The sequence below is a fragment of the Homo sapiens genome, chromosome 9 (assembly GCF_000001405.40).
Source record: "Homo sapiens chromosome 9, GRCh38.p14 Primary Assembly".
In the NCBI taxonomy this organism is placed as follows: domain Eukaryota; kingdom Metazoa; phylum Chordata; class Mammalia; order Primates; family Hominidae; genus Homo; species Homo sapiens.
In genome coordinates, this window is record NC_000009.12 from 27711310 (window position 1) to 27728562 (window position 17253).

The 17253-nt window shown below is 41.4% G+C and overlaps 1 protein-coding gene across 2 annotated transcripts in view; it reads left to right on the forward strand.

Moving 5' to 3' along the window:
* Positions 1-217: 217 nt before the first annotated feature.
* Positions 218-17253, forward strand: part of LOC124902135 (uncharacterized) — a 50861-nt gene continuing 33825 nt past the window's right edge. For both annotated transcript variants that reach the window (XR_007061442.1, XM_047424284.1), the window contains exons 1-2: positions 218-356; positions 9609-9715. Coding sequence is in view for 1 of the 2 variants with exons in the window: in XM_047424284.1 (XP_047280240.1) it covers positions 277-356; positions 9609-9715 (187 nt within the window). In the remaining variant the exon portion in view is untranslated. The remainder of the gene's footprint in view (positions 357-9608; positions 9716-17253) is intronic.

Genomic DNA, 17253 nt, shown 5'->3' on the forward strand with positions numbered 1-17253 from the left:
AAAATTGTTGTTTTCCTTGGAGATGACACTGAGAATAACAGGTATGCTGAGTGGCAGCTTTATCTGGGGATAGTGTCATGACTGATGACATGATAGTGTATGTGACCTTGAATATCCTCAGAATGCACTGAAACTGAAGGTGTCACTGATTTGACGTAAGTGGAAATTCTGGAGATTTTGCAAATTCTAGTTATCCCAGTTAGTCAAGGGCCATGGTCAGATATGTCTCTGAACTAAAAGAATGTATCATCTTAGGGACAAGAGGACTGGGTTTTAATGAACCTTTCTAAGAATGGCAGGTTCCCAGTCCAACCAGGAAGAGTTGTCAAAAGTGGAAACAACTGGCAGGAGAGGAGGTAAGAGAAGCTGCCCTGGCGGCTGGAGGTCAGCACTGCTCACCTTTGCTTAAGCAAGTATGTGAATAGACTTTGTTGACCTATGATTTGGGTGTCATGGGTCTCAGGTCCCTCAGTGTGGGGTGAGGGAAAGCATGGAGGGGAGAAATGGTGGTGTTGCAATGATTGTATTTTCTAATATGCTTGAGGCAGCACAGAACCTAGAGAGCCCAGGGCCTAATGTCTTTGAGCTGCTCTTCCGTGGTCCCCTGTGTCAGACATTCTTACCTGTCCACAGCCTGCACTTACAGTGCTAGAAACAGAAATAGAGGGATACATTTATTTTAGTGGATTCCTTCCCCTTTATATGCTTCACTGTGGCCATCAAGGAACAAAGAGGAAGGGAAATTTGAGACTATCTAGTTATAACACCTTCACTTTTTAAGAGAATTTCTTTCTCCACACCCTCTTTGTTTTTCATTTCTTCTTGTCTTTTTTATTTAAATCAGAAAATAAAGTCATTCTGATGAAAAAAGAAATAGAAGCTCTTACAGTGTTGCTTTGTGAACAGAGAACGGTTCTTAGACAAGCCAGTCCCTACCTCCTGGCCCAGCAGTTGCTTGCCTCTGGCCAGAACTTGCTGCCAGCCTGACAGCCACCAGCAGGAACTGGCATCTCTAGTTATGTTTTCTGACTTAGGGAAGATAGGCAGAGGTTTAATGTAGTGGAATATGATTCGGCCAGGGTTTTGGACAGAATGAGACTGTGGAGATCTGTATTATCTGAGGATGAAGGACAATAGAGGCATAAGAGACAGGAAATGGCCCAGGGAAAAGAACGAGTGAGAGAGAATTGGGAATGTGGTGAATGGGGGTGAGTGTGCCAAGGCATTGGCCTCTACTGGGAGCATAAAAGACTGAAATATTGACAGCTCAGGTACTGGGCAAATGGAACTGGAAGTGATAAACAAATGTCCCTATCTCATGGTGCAGAAAGACGGTGGCCCAGGCAGTCTGGCTCATGATCCTGTAGACTCTCTCTCTTGATTTGAGGTCCTGAGAACTGAGGTTCCTTTAGGATGCTAGCTGATGTACACTGGTTTTCAAAGTAGGAGACATTTCAGAAATAGGACCAGGTCTTCTTTAAGGAAAATCAATCTCTCCTCTTTTTCCTTTCTTCTTTTCGATTCTTAACCTCTCTCCATTTGTTCTCCTGATAGAAAAAAATCACAGATGGGATGAAGATCAACTGTAGGCAGGAAGCCAGAGTGAATGCAGGCGAGAGGAGTGGACCTTCTGTGGGAAATGTGGAGCCAGGAAACATGGACCATATGTGTCTGGATTTCCATATCTCGAGTGAGGCCATTGAATCCTGAAAAGGATGAGAGCCCTGGAAAACCTGCGGGAATGAAAGGAAGCCAAAGGGGAGGTTTTTTAAGCAAAGGCAGGACTGAGATGGCTATTAGCACAGTGTAGTGGCGGGCTCTGGGAAGCCAGTTTTGATAGTCGGTGAGAGAAAGCAGTGTGCATTCAGGAAATGAGAGCAGTTCATGGCGCTTTGCACAAAAGCCCTTGTATGCCCTGAGAAAGCACTTAGACTTTATCTGAGAGTCAGAGTGGACCACTCTGGTATCAGTTAGCTCAATGAGGCAGGCAATGGATTGAGATGCCTTAGGACAGAGGTATAGGAAAGCCAGAGTCAGAGAAAGCTGTTAGGAGGATTAGCAGGAAACCAGGCAAGAAATACAAAGGCCATAACCTGAGGCAGAAACAGAATGGAGAGGCAGGTGGTGAAGGGGAAAGGAGGCTCAGGGTTTCTCCCAAGATGACGAAAGGGAAACTTGGGTTTCGTGCTCCCTCTGGGATAAACAATTTCTCCAAAATAATTGATTCATAAGAAACCAAAAGGTATTAAATAAATAAATGTTATCTCTCTTTCCAAACTAAAGTTCTAGACAAGCTGGAGAACAGACAAGGAAGAAGAGAAGAATCCAGAAGGAAGGGCTGTCACTTCTAAACAAAACCTGAGGGCGATAAAACCCTCCTCGGGCTATGGCCACCGCCAGGAGAGGTTTGGGTCAGTGCTGTTGTACAAATGCCCCTTCCCTTAATCTCCTGGGTGACATCTAAGACTGGAGCACTGAGATGAGTTTTCATGAAGGCTGGAGGGAAACAAAGGGGAAATAAACATTTGGTAGCATGTAATTAGAGAATCTGGCTTATAAGAGATGACTGCCTGCTAAGGACACAGAATCAGTCACCTCAACTCCACAATTTGAGAGAGAAAGATCCAGAGGAAAGAAGTAGTCGGTCCTGAAGACAACAATGACCTGTCCTCTAGCAACCACCTCATCTTAGTTCTTGACATTCAGAATAGCAACTTCCTGCTGGGGTGACTAGATGGATAGATAGATGCATGGGATCTACAGGATTTCCTTATGGTTTTTTTTGGCCCTTTTGTAACTTGCCTCAAATTCAGGGGAGCCTCAAGTCCCAGGGAATGTGTCACCTCAGGAGAAGGGAAACAATTGGATGTGAAATTTTCCAATGTTTCAGTGACTGGCATCAATTCTAGAGAGTAATTTCTAGAATCACTTTGATAATTTAGTGTTTAGCAGAGGCTGGTGGACTAGAGATAAATGGCTAAAGGTGAGTAGAGGGAATTCCACTGGTACTGGTGGGGTAGGCTGTGATGTGATCCCATTTATAAATAGGACAGATGGCACAATGGGGATATGGATTTGGAACAGCAAAAGGTGAAACATTGGTCCTGCTACTCCCTGATTTATGTCTGAACCCCTATCTCCTCAGAGCTCAGCTGGGATAGACAGAGAAAGTCTCTGACTTGCAGAGAAACAAATTCATTCCTGGCAGGGACTGGGTTCTCTCCAGGTTATAGACCTAGCACACCAAGGGAATGATGTTTATTTTCCCTTCTCACCAGCAGGGGCACAGAGGGAACAGCTTTAAATCCAGATGGCCAGGACTGTGCTGGAAAGAAGGGACCGATAGCAAGCCATAAAAAGTAATACAGAGCTTTTTTTTTTTTTTCTTAGTCCAATCTGTCCTTTGGACACTTGTGTAGCACTAACAACAACAATAGCTTCTAATAATTATTCTCTTAATTTGTGCAATGCTTTTTACAGGTAATATCTCATAAAATTTTAAAATAATCGATAAGAAAGACGTTACCTTCCCAATTTCGTGCATGATGAGTCAAGATTGGAGAGGTTCAGTAAGTTGTTCAAGGTCACTCAGCTAGTAACTGCCAAAGTTGTTAGAATCTCCAGTCAGTCTGACAGTGGCATCCTTGTTATTTGATCCAGTGCATTGCTGTCCCTCTTTTAGCCATTTTTGTCCCTGCCTCTCTTGGTCATTTATGACTCTGAAGGACCTGAATGTCAGAAGGAGAGGAGTACAGAAACAGCTCACGGACAGCAAAAACCCCTCTGTGCACTGGGATGATCCTGCATCCACTTCTGTGAGATTATCTGCAGATCTGCTCACGTGTTTCTCAGGGGACTCTGAGACCCCAGAGAATGTCTCCAGCCTTGCAACTGGAATGGGAAGGGCACGGAAGTATAGCTCTTAGTAAGGAATGAGTGAATGAACCAACAGATGTTGCTGCTGACTATAAGGACAGTCAAGAAGCCATCACGCACATATTTGACAAACTTTTGTGGGGCATAGGGGTTTCTCTGTAGTCTAGACATTAGAAATACACTGACAGGGCAGATTTTGGCTTACTGTAGAAAAGTAATTTCTAAGACCTGGTGTTGTCCATGGAAAAAATGGGCTGCCTCTATTTCAATGCCTGTCAGGCATTTTAGAAAGGTGATTGCTGTTGTAAGAATTTGGGCAGATGGCTTCCAAGATCCCTCCCAATATTAAAATTCTGGTATCTAAAGCTCTTGAAAACTTTATTTCAGACCCCATCTGGCTAAATTTGTTGATGAATAAATGAATAGGAATTTATATTTGAAGGTAGTTACTGTATTTTAGACACCCTATCAGATTTGTTGATTGAATAAATGAACGACAAGCTAGACCCTGAGGTTCTCCACCTGTGGGTACACCACATTCTCCTCATCCCCCATGTTCTGTGATCTCACTTCCAACAGGCAGGGCTGAGACTCCCTTGCTCAGCACTGCCCTGCAGGCCCTCAGGGCACAGATATCCTCAGGCATTCACAATGACTGTGAGGAGATCAAAGTGAAAGGGGCCAGGGAAGTCTGGCAGCTCTGGTGGGCTGCAGTTTTCATCTCCCTGGGGCAGAAGAGAGAGCAGCCTCTGGGTGACACAGCCTGACTGGTGCCTGGGAGGAACAGGCGTGGGCAGAGCCATGTGCATGACAGGGAGAGGTGGAGACTGGGGATGAAGTCAGGATCTTATTGTCCTTGGAGGTAATGTCTGTGGTTCTGGAAAGCTCTTTACAGAAATCTTTCTCTCCTCAGCTTCCCAGGGGCTCAAATTCTTTTCATGGAGAAAAAGCCTTTCATCATAAGATGAAATTCAAGAGTGTCAAAAGCAAATGACTCTTGATCAACATCTAAGCTAGAGTGAAGTGGAACCTCTCTGAGGTAGCTTATTACGGGGAGAAATGGGGGAAAAGGTGGGAAGATTCCACACTAATGAAAGGAAGCACTGTGGGGGAGGGAAAAGGCTGCCAGAGGACCAGAGCCACCAAGACATCTGAGGACTAATTTTCCTCTCACAGTTTTTCCTCAGCTAGAGGGAGAGGGTGTTTGAGAAAGGTCTCATTGGTCTAATGACAGAAGGTTGAATTTAAATAATGCTTCAAACCTCAGGATGTACTCTAAACTTTTGACCCAGTAAATCGTGCCTGGGATATTTTGGGCAGCCCTGAAGCATCTCCTGAGGGATCTTTGAGAGCACAGTACCCAGAGGGCACCTTCAAAGGTGTGGCAGATGACTGTCTCTGCTCCTGCCTCTCCTCATCCGAGCTGCTTTTAGCACTTAGCCAGAGGGACCTTCCTCACGGGCACCTCTGGCGGACACAGAGCACCCACCATGTACCGACAGTGGCTTTGTGCCACCAACCAAAGCAAGTTTAAAAGCTTCGTCTTGCCAGAAATTTTAATTTCCTTGGAAAATACAAATGTCTGGTAACAAGTGTTTTTCATAACAACTTTGTGTTTTTTACAGAGAATGGAGTCACAATTTTGGTTTGCATAGATATGAAAACTCTAGGTATGATAGAAAGCTTGATTATGCATTTAACCAAACGCTTTCACTAGTTGTAATTTTGGTTCCCAAATGCATTCACCCCAGTTTAAGCCTATTACTTCTGGCCAAGGAACCTCTAAGGCTCCCTATTGCTTTCAGTTTGAGGCCATTAGCTTCTCTGATAAGTGGAAACACTACATACTCCACTGATTCTCACCCCTATGAGTCGGAAATGTGCACTCTCTCCTTCACACTGCACTTCTCCATTCTGGTTGGCTTTTTCCTTTTTCAGGAATATCGTCCTTTCCTTTATTTGCTATCCAAATTATTCTCATTCCTCTCCTTCTGCCAGAGGTGTCTCCCTGTCTCAGAAGCCTGCCCCGTTCGTATCATCCCTTCCCGTTGCTCCCTTCTCTTCCTAGAGCACTTGCAGTTTTCACCACTCAACTGAGCTTCACTTTTTTCTGAAAATCCTGATTCGTGTGTCCTTGTCTTAGCGGAACAAGAGTACTTCTTGCCTGGAGCTGGACTTAATAGGCATATATGTTGTTTTCTTCAAGTGGGGGAAAATCCATTAGTCTAACCCCTACCTACCCTTCAACCTCCTCATTCATAAAGATGTGAGTGAAGATCAGAGTGATTTATCCGATTGGCAAATTCAAGAAGAGCAAACTGTGTGCAAGTAGCCCTGCTCTTTTTTTCCCTCTTCTCTTTGGAAGGCTGCAGAAAATATTAATTCTCCACTCTTCCGCCAAGAGGAAGTCTTCTCCAGTTCTCTTGGGAGAAGTGTGCAAATCTGCCTGATGTGATGTCTGACTTTCAGGCATACGTATTCTTGCTCACTAAGCTACATCTTTCAATCTAACCATAATCTGTCATTCCTTTGTTTTATTTTTCAGTTTATTCAGTGCTTGCATGAGGAAAAGAGGTGGCATTTATTGGGGATGCTAAAACAAGGAAGTGACAGTCTTGGCAAAGGTCAGTTGATGCAGGAGGCAGCCATCACCCATAGTGCATGGCAAAGGCCCTGTATGGCTGCTGCATCTCATTTTATTTTGAACAGGCTAAATCTCAGCATAAGACCACTCCAAAACAGACTCTTGACTCCCAGAGGGGGTCATCTGGTAGGCAGAGTTTTTGGTTTGCATCCATCTGGATGCTCAGTATTCCGGCCAAATAATGTATCTTGGTTTTGGCACTGTAAACGTTTAGATTTCCTCCTGATAAAAAGTGTCCAAGAGATTTAGATGCTTGGAGATGCTGCTCCTGGAACCCAACATGGGCCTGGATCAGTGGGAGATGCTGGTTTTGTAGTTTACCACAGCTGGAGGCCCCATTGTCCAGCCCACTTGAACCCTGTGGTCAACTCTGAGTGAGAAACAGAGACCAGGATCAGGTTTCACATACTTCAGAATATAAATTTTAGATTAAGTGTTCCCTCAGTCAACAGCCTTCCCTATTTGTATTGTCAGCAGCATGTAGACTTGTAAAGTTACAAGAGAAGATCAAGAACCATGTACCAGAGTTGAGATATTGCCATTAGGCTGATAAGAGATTTACTGGGTTTGGAATTAGAGGCCAATAACAAAGCAACAACAACTCAAGACTTCATAAAGTCTTAATTTGTTCTCAAGAGATTTAGGTATTAGGTGGATCAAAGAGCAAAGTTAGTTAAAGGATGCATCGTTAAGCTTCAATTCCTCCTCTATCTCAGGCAGGGTATTAGATTGGATGATGCAGACCTGCAGATGACTGGGAAAACCTGCTACCCAGGTTCTGGCAGATTCCCAGCTGACAGGTGGGAGTGTAATATAGAGTATCAGGCATGGTTATTTTAAGAGTTTGCATGGACAGACCACATTTGGGTTTAGGCACACTTAGGATAGAGGGCATGGGATTGTGCTCAAGAAGTGAAATAAAGTGACTTTCAGAGAAAGTTTTGCATTTAGGATCTCACTTTATAGCTCCATATGTCTCCTGCACTCCAGGTTTGCACACCCAGACCTCTTCACAGGTTGGTTAGGATAACCAATTCATCCCATTTTGCCTGGGATTTTCCTAGTTTTAGCACTGCAAGTCTGGCATCGTGGTAAACCTCTCAGTGCTGGGCAAGCTAGGATAGCTGGTCACTCTATAATGTGACATAAGAATGGTTGGTCATGAGATGTTTGTTGAGTGGATAGGGCACGTGGGTAAGTACTGCGACACCAGTGCAAGTGTCATGCAGAGGAAAAAACACATGCTTCAGCCTGAGGTAGACTTGGGTAAAAATTCTCATCCTGAATTCCTAACTGTGTAATCTTCAATAAGTTATTGATCTTCTCTGAGACATAATGTGTATAAAGTATCTGAGATAGAACATTAATATCAGCTGCTCAATTAATGGTAGGTGTTATTATATGACTTGAGACATAACAGTGATAATAAGGAGAAGATTGTAATCAGTTGCTCCTGATTCATACAGAGGTACACAGAGACATAGAAAAGTCTTGTATGAGACCAAGGACCCTTTTGAGGTCTTGATGTCTAGTGTAGTTTTATGACCTGAGTCTTGCTAGGGTATGTGGATTCAGAAGTATCTCTGTATTGCTTTTCATGCCACTGTGGAGACACTTGGGAGAAAAGAAAGCAGGATTCTCTCTACTCTTCCAATGTCATCCTTTGTGACATTTTGTTTTCTAGGGGTTCATGCCACCTAATGGTGAGCTACCATTTGGTGCTGTGTGGAAGGAAGGTGATTGGCTTATGCTACAGGGGACATAGTTTCACAGGCTTGGAGAATATCGGAGACTGGAGGGGTCTCGGAGTGTATCTAGGTCAATCCCTTCATTTTATGTGTGAGCAAACTGGGTAGGACTCAGGGAAATAAAGTGACTTGTCCAATATTATTCAATGAATTAGTGGCGAGCTAGGACCAGAATTGAGGTCTCTTGATAACTAGTGAGAATGTTCTCCATCATATGGGCAGCCTCTCCTCAGCCACATCTTCCTTTACCTTTGCTCTTGTTCATAGCAACTTATAGACTTGAACTGAAAGTCTAAGTTGAACTTCCTTTATCTTTGCTCTTGTTCATAACAACTTACAGACCAAACTGAATGTCTGAGTTGAACTTCCTTTATCTTTGCTCTTGTTGATAGCAACTTTTAGACTCAAAGTGAAGGTTAGCTTTCTATTTTTGCGTAACAACTTTCCACAAACTTAGTGGCTTAAAACATCACACATTTATTATCTTGGTTTTTGTGGGTCAAGAATTTTTGCACAGATTAGCTTGATCCTCTGCTCAGGGTCTCCCAAGGCTGCAATCAAGATGTTGAATGGAATGATCAAATCAGGCACATTATCATACCTATCACTTCAAATATTTACCATTTCTTTTTGGTGAGAACATCTAAAACCCTCCTTTTTAGGTATTTGAAATATATAATACATTTTTATTAACTATTCAAAACATCACGTTGTACCCCATAAACATATACAATTATTTGTTAATTAAAAATGAAATAAAATGTAAGAAATGATATAGGATGATGTCTGTTCCTTTCTGAAACTCAGGGCCCTCTTTCAAGTTCATGTGCTCGTTAGCTGAGTTCCTTGTGATTAGAGAACTAGGTCTTTTTCCTTCTTGTTGTCAGGTGGAAGCTTTTCTTAGGACGTAGAGGCCATTCACAGTTACTTACCATGTGGTCCTTTCACAACATGGCCACTTCTTCAAAGCCAGTGGGAGAATCTCTCCCTTCAGGAAGGGATCTGTCTCTCTTTTTAAAGGCTTTTACCTGATTAAGTCAGGCCTTCCTAAGATGATCTCCATTTTGATTAATTCATTATGGTCAAATGATTTGAGAACTTATTTACATCTGCAAAATCTCTTCACCTTTGCCAAAGAATATAACCTAATCATGATAATGATATTCTATCAAATTCACAGATTCTGCCCACACTCAAGATGAGAATTACACACAGAAGTTATATATACCAGTAGGCAGAAATCTTCAAGGCCATTTTAGAATTCTCCCTACCACAGATTTCTTAAGATATCATGGCTTAATACTCAAAGAATTAAGTGTTGCTGTTTTAATCATTTTCAGAATCCTTGAAGGAGAACTAGGATTACAGTTACTGTTCTTTAAGCTTAAAATGAGCTTCAATCAAGAGGAAGAAGGAAAATTGCTTAAGTCAGACCCGACAGCTAAAGGTAAAAGATGCCTAGATTCTTTAAAACTTAGTTTAAAAGCACTCTAGTGTTCAGCTCAGCTAAGGGAAAGGATGCTTTGTTACAGAATACAATGACAGTTCTGGAAAATAGCAGCCTCTATAGCTTCTGACACCAGGAACACAGATGTAGGAGGGGAAACAATTTTGTGAAAAGCTACCTTATTTGGAAGAAGTCTTGGTTTAAGTAAAAGAAAAAAAAGGTAGGGGGGGGTTGGGGTAGGGGGCTGATCTTTGTATGTTTGGAAATGAATAGAAGCAGATATTCTTCGGCAGACCCACCTAGTGTATGTAGGACCAGGGTAAGAGGATTTCATTGCACTGTGTTTTGTTTTGTTTTTTCTAGATAGGGCTGAAAATATATAATTCTGATGGATTTTTAACTTAACTGTTTACCTTCCTTTTCTTCCATTTCCTTTACTCCAAATTGTCTGGTTTTTGCTTTTTTCCAGTAGCTGGTACAAAAATAAAATGATAATGTTGTACTTTATTGAAAACAGCAATGAACACACAACCACTACTACCATCATTTAAGAATCTTTCCAAATATAGTGTCTTTGTTCTGTCTCTGTGTGTGTGTGTGTGTTTATATGTGCATTTAATGGTTATAATATCAGCTATTTCTGCAATTTCTTTGGCAAGATTTATCCTACAACAGGGTCACCCTGTCAGACTGAGGGATTACAGGATTTTTCTAGAGCTAAAATTATAACTATTCAGCCTAAAAAACATAACCTCTGCTCTTATGGGCTCAGTACAGTAGCTAATGTTCATTATGCCAGTTTGAGAGACTAGGAAAAACTGAATTTCCCTTTAAATACCTGGGACTCAGAGTTTCTGGAAGACCAAACTTTTTTTTTTTTTTTCACACAATGTTTTTGAACCTTGAATATGCAAAAGGATCTCCTGAGTTTTTGTTGAAAATGTAGAATGAGTAGATCTCTGTAGTGCACAATAATCTACTTTTTAAATAAGCCTTCTGGGAATACTTATTCAGGAAGTCCACACTTAGAGAAATATGATGGGTAACATAGTTCAAGGGTGCAGGGTAATTTTTTTTTTAAGGACAAAAAGTTCAAGTAGGGCACTCGTAAACTTATTTTAAATGCCATATTTCATTATGAGGACACTGATACACATTATTATTGAATCAATGGTGGAATCAGCCACCATTGCCCATGCTGTTGTTTTTAGATATGTGCTCCTTTTTGCCCCCATAAACTCCACACAAATGCTGAATTTATATTCTCAGATTCCTTTGTGACACTCAGCTCTAAAGCCTTCCTCCAATAATGTTTGGCCTTCTGCATTTTCATCTTTCCCATGCTTTCGCTTACCTTCTTTTTTTGTTGGTCAAAGAGAGCCGACTCTGGTGTTCTGGAAAGTCCATTTGTTTAAAGAACAAGGGACTTCCTTCTAGCATTCTAAACATTTTCTTTCTTTAGGTTAGGGTCAGAAGCAAGGGCACCGACTCATGTCTTTAGCTTCTGCTAAAGGAATTTTTTTTTCCTTTCTGTAGAAGTTCTAAAGCATGCCCAGGGCCCTACTTTAAAAGATCTCTTTCTTTGTCCTTCTACTATTTTGATCAGATTGTCTGCATCCTGGAATCAAGTGCTCTAGGAATCCATGAACTAAAGTTAGACTGCATGCCCATAAAGTGAAAGGAAACCCCCCCAAAACTTATGCACGCCTTCTGCTGACAATCCTTTTTGAAAAGCATTAATTCTTCAAGTAAGGTAAATGGTGTGTTATGAAGTATGTTGACTTTTCAGTCTCTTCTTTGGAGGTCTCACCCACTCTGCCGACTTCAGTTGATTCATGTGGAAGCTTCCTAAACCTACAGCAGTAGCCCTGATTTATCTTCTCAACTTCATCCCACACTTCTATTTGACTATTGGCCATTTCCACTGGTCCAACATGCCTTAGTTGAGACCAACTAAGGTCTCAACTTATTTCTTAAGAAATAAGAGGAAAATAAACTTATCTGCCTTTATGCAAGCCAGTGGCAAACCAGCCTCCTTCTCTACTTCTGTTCCTCATTCTCAACTCCCAAGCTGGGAAAGGTGAAATCATATTTTGTTCCTCATTCTTCCATAATTCTAAAAATGGTCACTCTCAAGGTTCTATTTTCATTTCCAACAACTTTTATATACACCTCTTCTTTTCTATTTCACCTTCCTAACTCAAGCTCTTAGCATTTTGAAATATTTTAAAAAGACCCTTAACATCAATTTATATATATTAATAACTTGTCTGACACAGGTGTGCAAACTCACACACAATAGCTAGAGAAAACTGGATATTATTTAGCACTTGGGAAAATAAATTTCCTTGAGATTTTGATAGATTAAAAAAATTCTGGATTTCAAGTTTTACACATAGGAATTACCTATTTTACTGCTCAAAACATAGTAAATATTTCCACAGTTTGGAAAGTCTCTCCTGTTGGTAACCTAGGCTGAAGGTAGTTTAGCTCTCGGAGGACTCTAGTGAACAACAGTTTTCTGTTTCATACTTTACTGCTCTGTGCAAGCCAACCACAGTCTCTCCCAATGCCCCAGAGGTCCCTACCCTCGATCAGAGTCTTCAGCTCTCCACTCAGGAGGGAAGACCAAAGTGAGACTGTTTTTAGAATTTCCTGGGAAGGCTTGCAGAGGCAGGTATCAAATGGCAGTCAACCACTGGCCACTGGGGGACAAGAGCACAGAAAACCTGCAGAAACTGCATCATCTTAAACATGTGAAATCAGATATTAGTTGGGGTCCTGTAACTTTTCAGATTTGAATTAAATTGCCTTCAGTCTACCAACACCATAGATGGTGGAAGTCCGAAGCCCTCCTTTGAATTTCTGTGATACCACAAGGGGTATCTGTTTTCCTGACCTCGTGGCTATTTTCCCTTATGGCTCTGGCTTCTTTGTACACTACTTCTGTCCTGTCCTACCTGGGAACCCTGCTCCCCCTTCCAGTTTTACCGCGTACACTCATACAAGTGACAACAAGTTGACTAGAATTGCTGGAAAGTTTTGGTTGGTCTTGATGCATTGTATAGCTTTCTGCCCTTATACTGAGTTCCCGTTTTCTTCTCCCTGCCCACCTTTGCCCACCATAGCCTAACTCCTAAATTGCTTTAGGAGCTACAAATTCCTTCTTTTGTTTTACAGTTTTCTCCTTTCCTCTAAGCCTCAGTGCCAGCAAACCTTCAGTTCTTAGATTGTGTAGGGAGAGGTGGGAGGGTAGAGAGGGGGGCCAGGGTTTATTTCCTACCCCAAGCACTTAACAAAGTAGCTTTTCAAGGCTTCTTTTTTCCTTGACATTAATTATAGAGTTAGCTATTAAGATTAAAACATTTTCTGATTTGCTAAATGCAAATATCGCATATACTTATGAATAGATCTATACCTATATGTACAAAATGCATATGCATATGAAAAGGATATTCTAAATAGAAAATTAAAAAATTATAAATTTCTCTCTTACATACACACACACACACACACACACACACACACACACACACACACACACACCATACAGGAAATACACCAAAATGTTAACAATGGTCATCTGAGTAATGGGATTGTGGCTAATATTTATATTCATACTGATCCTTTACTGTAATTTTAACATCTAGATATGTATTATTTAATAATATAAAAAGCCATACAATATGACGTTAAGGATGCAGTGAGGTATCCCATAGTCCACCTAGAGTCACAGAGAGTTCACTGCCCCAGTAGGCAGCAGAGGGGAGGCCTCATCCTTGCGTAGTCCCTTGTAAGTGTGGGACATCATTTCTACTCTCTGAGCTGTTGGGGACAGAGAACAGATCATTGGATTTGTATGGATGGAGGTCACTGGTGACCTTGAAAAAGCTATTACAATGCAGTGGTGAGGACAATTCTGATTTTCAAATGGGTTTATTTATATTGTCTTCTTCAAGAAATACTTGACATAATCTTCTAAAGAGATAAGTAACTTCGAAACCTTGAAAATGCAGAACATCTCTTTATTTTTCTGGATATGGGAATTATAATGCAATCCACTGAGAGGTATGTGGGGCTTCTGGCAGATTTTGGAATTAATTGTAATTTTTTCTCTAGTGAAGGCATATTATAAGTTCCTTTGTTGTACCTGATATTTAGTGTATTTCTGTACCCTGCCCCCGTTATTGATAAAGATGTCTTACCTAGGAACAGGCTCAGGGAGTTGTTTGGCTTTTGAAACATCCTTCACTATTATTTCTTATGTGTCTCTTCTTGTGACGAGGGGACCTATTTTCAAGAGCGCCAACTAGGCATAAGAGTATATTTGTGGTATTGAGAACACAAGGTTTGAATTCAGATAGATATGCAACTGAATTCCAAGATTATCATTTATTGGCATGCCATTTTGGGAAATGTCAGAGCTTTCCATAACACAACATGCAACTGCTATTCTGAGACATTTTTGTCATAATGTTATGTTTATCAGGCAGCTTTCCTACAACTTAAGGGAAAGCAGACTCTTCTATATCAGGTAAAAATCACATATGGCTGGGTGTGGTGGCTCACGCCTGTAATCCCAGCACTTTGGGAGGCTGAGGTGGGCAGATCACCTGAGGTCAGAAGTTTGAGACCAGCCTGGCCAACATGGTGAAACCCCATCTCTACTAAAAATACAAAAATTAGCCAGGCATGGTGGCAGGCACCAGTAATCCGAGATACTTGGGAGGCTGAGGCAGGAGAACTGCTTGAACTCGAGAGGCAGAGGTTGCAGTGAGCCGAGGCTGTGCCACTGCACTCCAGCCCTCCAGCCTCGGTGACAGAGCGAGACTCCGTCTCAAAAACAAAAACAAACACAAACAAACAAACAAAAAACTACAAAAAAAAACAAACAACAACAACAAACAAAAATTACATATTGGGCCATTGTCTTCCCCCTCTGCTAGAGGCAGAAGCTGACATATGCCATGGTGTTCACTAAGCAAATGGGAGTCAACATGATGCATATCAACTTGAACAGGAATACCCGTGGGGGCATGCAGAATATGCCATCAGGAGTCAACAAAAAACATTGTGTATATTTCCAGTTTTGCCTTTCCCATTTCACACTGTCTCAAAATTTAGGCCCTAAAGATAAAGCATCTCATTAGGCAGAGTACTATAAAGAAAGTATATTAAAGATGGTCCAGTTGTTGATCCTCATGTAGGGAACAGAATCCCAAAGCAAACAACTTCATTCTCTAATGCAAAAGCAGAGACCCAAAGACAACACTGCTGCAAACATTACTTGGCTATTAAGGGAAAACCAGTAGGTGGTGCTGCTGCTCCGTGTGTTCCTTCTGAGGTCTTCAACTGTGCGTGCAGAAGAAACTTGCTTTTCAAATGGCGAAGTGATTTAATGATACTGATGCAAGAGGTCTGCTAAAAAGAGTAGCCCCTGATGGTGTCAGTCAGAAGTAAGCTTTTCTTGGAAGGGGCTTAGCTCATTTGACCTCGGAAACTGAAGGCTTTGCTCCACCAAAGAGAACAAAAATCAGAGGAAGATTTGCAAAGAGCAGAGCTTTCAATTCCCCCATAGAGAAAATGAGGTTAGTGGTCTGGAGACAGCAAGCAAAAACAGCACAACTAAAGATATTAGCCCCATAGAGCCCTGAGGTTAATGTGGATGATAAGAGCCCAACTGTGTACTAATTTGGTTTGTTAACTTACTACATCCTTGAGAGAATTTCTTCCCCCCTGGACAGGATGAAGAATTCCCTTGAGCAACAGAGGTTTTTGTACTAGGAGATTAAGTAGCATAGAAAATTACAGCCCTGCATTTGTGCTATTTGAGTTAAGGTGGTGTCAGCATTCCTATTTTAAGCCATTATTTTCAAGGATTTGAGTTTTCCTGGTACATACAGATTCAGCCCCAGAATCACACATACAGAACATGTGTTGTCTGAGTGGGCTGTCACAGACAATCACAACCACTGCAGGAGAAATGGGTCATTGGAGATGATTCACTCTCATTCTTAAACAAAAAAAGACAATAGAAGTAAGCTTACAATTCACTGCCAAAATATGTAATGAGTTAAAAAAAACGTTGCAAGAAGATTTGTAGTGCAAAGACTTAGTGCTCATGTGTGACAACCAAATTGAAAAAACACGCTCTTATTAGCTTTTAATGATTACTTGGGCCAATGGTCTGTGAACTGAGATAGATCTCCATGAAGCTATAAGAGGCCCTAAAGAGTGTCTGGGTAATAAATATATATTATTTTCCAAATTGGTTAGCACATGGAGGTGAGCATTACTCTGAAAGGGCAGCTGGCTGGGTTGTATAATAACTTAGCCAAAATGTCTGACTGTATACATAGCTTCCCATTTTCTCTATGAGTGCCCATTGCAATCACAAGGGAAGGAAGGTAATAAGCACTTACAGAGGTATTTTATGGTTCAGACTCTATCTATATATTTGCTTACTTACTCCTACAATTATCCCTGTGTAGTAGGAATTACTGTTCCCATTTTAGAGGTGAGAAAACTGAGGCTTCATGAAATGAAGCAACTTTCCTTGGGGACTCAGATTGGTGAATGCCTGGGATTCGAGCTAAGGGTTATCCAGTCTGAAAACCGTGACATTTCCATTGCAATAGATTACATATTTGTTCCTTAGGAAATATTTCACTTCTTTTCAATTCATATTTGCTTTTGACAAGGCTAATCTCAGTTTTCTTACCTGTAGAATAAGGATAACATTATCAGCCTCACAGGGTTGTGACCATGACTTAGTACAGGGCCTAACACACAGAAAACACTCTACTAATGCTGCCCAACATTACTGAGGTGGCATTCAGCAAAAAATGAAAAACAAGGGCGTAGTAAACAATGAGCTTTGATTGTAACTGCACCTTGTAGCATTTAAGGGAATTGTGCCACAGAAGTGTTAGTTTCCTCAATTTTCTCAGATTCATGATGCAAAGAGTAGAGTACATACATTGATTTTCCAGCCAATATGTAGACAAAGACCAAGAAAGAAAACAGGCATGGAAAATTGCATGTCAATACTTAGAGAAACAAGGTGATTGCAGTAATTGAGCAGAACCAGAAGAAGTCACATGTGTGATTGTCAGCTGCCCTTAGGATACTGGTACTGGTCTTGTCTTCACAGTCTTTGAACAGACTAGGTGGGACTGTGTAGATAGGACACCTTCGTCTCAAATCAACAGGGTTCATTTTAAATGGACATACACATACAATAAAGTGGTTTTAGAGAAACAAAAATCATACCAGGAGTTTTGACAGTAAGTGTATACGAAACAGTGTTTCAGCTCTCCACAAGGCCCAATATGGGTACCATGATGCCAGGGGGCCCCTCAGGCTTTTGTGCTTTGGAGGTCACAAAGATGTTTTGAAGACAAAGAGTTCCCTACTGGGGGAATTGGATTGGCTGACCTGAAGGAGGTAGCATTTTGTGAGGCAAATATGTAGAAGAGCAGAGAAGGTGGTGGGTGTGGGTTAGGGGTAGGGCCAGTGAGGGCAAGGGAAGAATACTG